The 6,540-nt window shown below is 39.6% G+C and overlaps 1 annotated feature.

The window, feature by feature from the left end:
• Nucleotides 3,570-4,270: an enhancer, noted in NCBI's record as "H3K4me1 hESC enhancer chr4:112596428-112597128 (GRCh37/hg19 assembly coordinates)". NCBI's record gives its function as "activates a minimal SCP1, AML or CMV promoter by ChIP-STARR-seq in primed H9 embryonic stem cells {active_cell/tissue: H9 hESC(primed)}" and the evidence as "EXISTENCE:reporter gene assay evidence [ECO:0000049][PMID:30033119]".

The following is a 6,540-nucleotide window of genomic DNA, read 5'->3' as shown; positions in this document are numbered from 1 at the left end:
CTGATTTTAAAGTGCTTAATTCACTGTTTATACTAGAAATGCACATACGTAATGTTTTAAGGGGAAAAATAAAGCTGTGAATAAGAACAAATAATTCTTCATATCTTCACATGGCTTTCAGGAGGTCAATAAGAAATCTAAACAGAGAATGAGAGAGGTATTTGACATTAGCATATGTACACACACACACACACACACACACACACACACACACACACACACACAAATCAAAGTAGACTGACCCTTCCACGTGAAAAAGAAATCGAGAGTAAATAAATGTTTATAACTATTAAGGGTCTTTCGTATTAAAGGAGGCCAAAACAAGCTGGCTGTATCTGGCTGTATCTGACTGTATCTGGTGGCTGTATTCGCAGGACATTTCCTCTAAGGGAGCCTTGCTAGTTAAGACTGTAGAAGGAGCAACAGATAAGGTGGAGAGCTCACAACTTAGCAACAACTTGGAAAGTATTGTCAATAAATGCTCCAGGTTGAAATGGGGCCAAGTGATAGGATGTGATAATATTGTACAATTGAAGCAGCACTTCAGTATCTAATCTTGGGATTAGAGAAAAATCTGGCGTTCACACCAGGGAAACCATGTCAGTTTGGAATTCATAGCTCTTCTCCATTTATATTAAGAACAGCCACAGATTACTGGAGGCAAACTGTGATACAGCTTACTGCAACATGTCTATGATAAAGCATGGAAACTTGCTTTTTATACCAGAAAAAAAAAAACCACCCCCCAAAAGTGTTGTAATAGAAACCAAAGCATCTGGTTCCCACTATCACCATGTTTTGTATAAATGTTTCCTAAGATCTAGTTTCTTGATAACGGCCTTTGGTAAACTCATTTAAGAAAAATTTGGCCCCATGTCAATGTTTCACTAAACAACAATGACTTTACATGTGAGCTATCCTCTAACCTGGTCTTTCACAGTTAGCATAATGTTGAGACAATTTGCATTTAGTTCATAATAGGCAAACAGGAAATCCCATGGAAGTGTGTCAGGACTTCACAAATAGCTGGCCAAGAAGCCTAGAGGAGAAGCAAGAAGGTGACTAGAGGAGAAAAAAGAGGCTGAGTTAGAAAAGGGAGTAAGGAGAGAAATGGAGTGTGAGAGAGAATACAAATTGGAAACAGAAGCTTGAATGGGAAAATGCCATTTTAGAAAGTAATCTTTTAAATTCTGTTTTTAAAGTCATGCCTAGAAGCTGTCCAAACTACAGCCAAATAATAAGATTATGTCTGATTCCCGATCCTAGCACTGTCAGGCTTGGTTAGTGTGACGCCTTTAATGTATTTGGTGTGATTACTTTTTGTTTTGTAGCAGCAGCAGAAATCCTCTACATTAGATAAAAATTGTTTACAGGTTAAAAAATGTTTTTATTGCAAAATTTGCGTGCAAATTTCAAAGTGAACATTTTTACTTTATAATTTTTTTGGCCAACTAACAGATATAGCTACTTCAACAGAAATGAAAATCACTACACACAATCAAAAATTCTCTTTCCTGAGAATAGAGGAGACTTCATATTTTATAGTAATTTTACATAAACATGAGAGAAACCTTGTTCATTTTCCTGTTAGAAGTAAATCCCTGCATCATTTTAATGATGTTAATAATTAACAATATTGATAACAATAATACCAATACCAAAAAGAGAATAAGATTATACTTGGAAAGTTTTATTTGATGCCTTCCTTATTTTTAAGACTATCTTTTATCCTTTATCTTATCTCAGGAAATGTTTATTGATGGGCTCAAAATAATATTTATTAGAAGAAAAGAACAGATTTAGGACTAAGATATGTGATGTTGATATTAATTATTGAGCTAAAGATTTTGCCAATTTTACATGTTTTTCATTGTAAAAAAACGTTTTTATCTTTCCATTTCCCAGTAATTCTTACAGGACTAGTTAGCAAATGCTGTTGATTTACAAATGGTATACACTTTAAAATACTGATATTATTAATACTTCTAACAGTTGTTAGCTTGATAGGCTCACAAAGGAATGAATGATTAGCTTATTTTATGGGCATTATTCTTAGAAATGGAAATGAAGTTTAAGTCACATTTTGAACACAGTTGGATAACATCAAGTTCACACTTCTGAACTGAGAGAAGTTTTCAGATATTTGCTTTGATCTCTATCATAGGTCCTTAAGCAATTTCACTTTTAAAATTTTTCTTTAAAAATTTACACTCACATTTGGGTAAACAGATGGCTTGCACTGCCTAACATCAGATGATGTGCCAAACAGTAATAACGTCAGTTATTTTTGTTGTTATCCTTACTGTTGTATAGAGTACATTTGATGAAAACAGTGAGAAAAATAAAAGAATCCGCAGCTCAAAACTTCATGAGATTATTGTACTTGGTCACTCTCTTCAACACAAATTCTGATTATTGTCTGGAGAGTTCTGGCAGGATTTTGTAACAAGTTAGCTTCAAATATTTAACTTTTCTGGGACAAAGACTCTTGGAACTTCGGTCTTCTTGCCCTGTAAATCTGCAGCGTTTCTTATTTTTGTCAACAGGCATGCGGAAGGCCTTAAAAAGACACATTTATTTCATTTATGAGAAACTGAATCCAGATATAAAGCTCTTCTCTCACCCACTACTGTTGGCTTTCTTTAGAATGATTCTGTGGTGGTGCTGGGCCCCAGGAAGCATTGTAACATGTGTTGGCAATCTTGCAAACCAAATTTAGAGTCTCTTAGATTCAATATCAAGATATTTATTAGGAGTGAAGCTTGCCTTGAGCTCTTTCTGTGAGTTGATGTTAAGCCACTGGCAGTGCTTCTAGAGTGAGTTTTCTTGTTTATCCCTGGTGATGTTTAATGCAAAGCTAATTCACTTCCTGGGACATCCTACTGGGGACAAGTCACTCTATTAATAGCTAGAAGTCTTGATTGTGATTTCCAGCTAGGTTTGGAATTAGGGTTTATAGCTTCTGGGTAGCTTTCATTTATATAAATGAAAATTATCTTGAGACAACAGGAAAAGATAACATGAAAGAGTGGAAGTTTTGTTACTTGTGACATCTCACTGCACATTGTTTTAAGTGTAACTAATTTGTTTTAAATTACTCTTTGAAACAATTCCTACTATTTTTAGCATGGAGCCAATCATAATTCAAAAGCAGAAGACCTTTGTTGTTTAACAGTATTGGTTTACTTACCCCACTCAAGGAGGACTAGTGGTGCGCTGATAAATGTTTAAAAACTGGCTTTCCAAAGGCGAACAAAACAAAATAAAACTCAAAAACAAAGGCATTATGTGGAGCATTTGAAAAGGTATAGGGTACAAATGATCCCAGCATGATCAGTTCTAACTTCATAGCCTAACGTCAACTGGCTTTCGATACTTCTAAAAATTTAACAGTAGGCTGCACCTATGTCTGGCTCCCACATGCCACTGGAAAAATACTGTGTTACTTATATGTATTTTATGTAGGTAAGTGAATATGTAAGTAAGTGAAATTATGTAAGTAATTGAAACCGGAAAGGTTCCCTTGTCCCCCGCAGGCATGTGACAGGGGGAGTGGCTGGCCTCTTCAGTGCCCCCCTGCTCAAACCTCTAGGGGGAGCATACAGGCTAGCAGAATGAGGGGGTCTGACCCCACAGCAGTGTCTAGGGGTGAATGATTACAGCTCCTGAAGCCCCAGTGGGCGTGTTACAGGGTGCTCTTTTAGTTTAACTGTCCATAGGCGGCTTGTGTTAGCTCAATTAGACCCTCTGCCTTATCGCAAAAACAGAGGGCTTTCTGTATGCTAGGGTTCTTGCCTTGGTGTACTGGAAGCATCAGATCACACGTGAGCTTGGAGAATGAGTGCAAGGTTTTATTGAATGGTAGAAGCTTTCAGCAAGGTGGATGGGGAGGACAGAAGCGGGAGGGAGTGGGAAGGTGGTTTTCCCCTGGAGTTGGGCCACTCAGCGGTCCGGGCTCCCTTCTGTCTGCCTTGACCAATCTCCACGTCATTCCGCCAGTGGATGGCCTGCTGGCCTGCCGGCCTGCCAGCGTCTATCAGTGTGTTCTTTCGCTGGCATGCTACCCTAGACGTCCTTTCGATGTCCAGCCGCTTGTGTGTTCTTCCGCTGATGTGTTTCTCTCGACGTCCAGCCTCATGTGTGTCTGCCCACTAGGGTCTCGGGGTTTTTATAGGCACAGGATCGGGTTGTGGCAGGACAGGGTGGTCTTGGGAGATGTAACATTTTGGTGTGAAGGGAGGAGTGCCTGTCCTGACCTAGGTCCTTAGGCACAGGCCCGAGGGTGGAGCCCTAGCCAGGGACCCGCCTTTCTCTATCCAGCTTTTCCCTGCCCCCCTCCCATATCAAAAGAGCTGAAAATGATGCTAACCTTCAAGAGAACATAACAATTCTCTCTACAAGAGTAGATGGTTTGGAATGGCTTTTTTTTTTTTTTGAGACGGAGTCTCGCTCTGTCGCCCAGGCTGGAGTGCAGTGGCGCGATCTCCGCTCACTGCAAGCTCCGCCTGGCGGGTTCACGCCATTCTCCTGCCTCAGCCTTCCCAGCAGCTGGGACTACAGACGCCCACCACCACGCCTGGCTAATTTTTTTGTATTTTTAGTAGAGACGGCGTTTCACAGTGTTAGCCAGAATGGTCTCAATCTCCTGACCTTGTGATCCGCCCTCCTCGGCCGCCCAAAGTGCTGGGATTACAGGTGTGAGCTACCACACCCTGTTGGCTGGAATGGCTCTTTGAGTTATGTAATAGAATTCTGGAATTTGGGAGCTAGGAGGACTTTTTTTTTTTACATTTCTAAACTTTTATTTACAGTGGACACATAATGACATATTAATGGGGTGCAGTGTGGTGTTTCAATGCATATGTGCATTGTATAATGATGAAATTGGGGTAATTAGCATATCTATCACTTTAAACATTTACCATTTCTTTGTGGTGATAAATTGAAAATTCTCTTCTAGTTATATTACTATTAATTATTTATTATTATTTGAGACTGAGTCTTGTTCTGTTGCCCAGGCTGGAGTGCAGTGACACAATCTGAACTCACTGCAACCTCCACCTCCCAGGTTTAAGTGATTCTCATGCCTCAGCCTTCTGAGTAGCAGAGATTACAGGCATGCGCCACCACGCCCAGCTAATTTTTGCATTTTTAGTGGAGACAGGATTTCATCATGTTGGCCAGGCTGGTCTTGAACTCCTGACCTCAGGTGATCTGCCCACCTTGGCCTCCCAAAGTGCTGGGATTATAGGCGTGAGCCACCGTGCCCAGCCTTCTTCTAGCTATCTTGTAGTGTATAATATACTGTGCTAAAAGAAAATACTTCAGCGAAATTAGATTTAAAAGAGTTTAATTGAACAATCAACGATTCATGAATTGGAAAGTCTTTCGAACCAGAATAGGTCCAGAGACTCCAGTGCAGGCACATGGTGGGAGAAGATTTCTGGACAGAAAAAGGAAAGACATGCAGAACACGGAAGTGAGGTACAGAAACAACTGGATTGATTACAGCTCAACATTTGCCTTATTCGAACATGGTTGGAGCAGTTGACCAACATGGTTGGAGTTTTGTTTGGCCAAAACTTGGTGATTGGCACAAGTGTAGGCTACTCAGTCTGTTTATACCTCCATGTGTTATATAGTTCACAATGTACAGAAAAACCTTTAGGCTGAACTTAAGTAGGTAAGAAGACAGCTTTAGGCTAAACTTGATTTAACAACTGTTATTAGCTATAGTCACCCTAGTGTGTGAAAGAACACCAGAATTTCTTCTTCCTATCGAACTGTAACTTTGTACCTGTTGGCCACCCTCTTCCCATCTAACCCCTATCCCCCAGCCTCTGGTAACCACTATCCTATTTTCTACTTCTATGAGATCAACTGAGGAGGACTTTTGAAAACCTTGGGTTCTGTATCTTCATGTGGAAGACACTAAGACCCAGAAAAGAGTGATTTTTTTTTTCAAGGAGGCAATGGCAGCAGTAAGACTCAGGCCAGATTTACTGAGCTTCCAGCTCTGTGTTCTTTCCATTAACTTACTCTTTTTTCTTATTTAACGGCTCACACAAATTGTTTTGATTTGCCTGGTTTATTCTTGCTTTTGATAGAAGTAGTTTGCTGCTCAGTTGTTATAATCAACTGTCCAATCTCAGGAGAATTAAGACATAAGTCAGTAAATGGTTTCTTATTTCTTTAGTGCATATAGATAATGACTATGAAGTCTAAAAAGCAAAAAAGGTAAAATTCCACAGGAGGAGTATGTGCCCTTTTAACTATGATGTTCCTCTCCATTTTACTACTTCAGATCTCAGGCAAACATGCAAATGATGGGCATTCCTTTGGATCCACAGTTTTGATCTTTTATCACTCTTAGCTAGAAAGTCATTCTAACATTTCTGCTATAAAGCCCCTTGTTGGTATTACCTTTAGCTGTTGCTACCCTATACAAATATTCCACTACATGACTAGTGAATTATTTACCTCCAAGTCAGTTTTCATCTCAATACTTCTCTGTTTAAAACAAATAAAAAGGGGCTGCCT

This window comes from Homo sapiens, chromosome 4, assembly GCF_000001405.40.
Source record: "Homo sapiens chromosome 4, GRCh38.p14 Primary Assembly".
Taxonomy (NCBI): Eukaryota; Metazoa; Chordata; class Mammalia; order Primates; family Hominidae; genus Homo; species Homo sapiens.
Note: the sequence above shows the minus strand (reverse complement) of the source record. Positions and strands in the feature narration are given on the sequence as shown.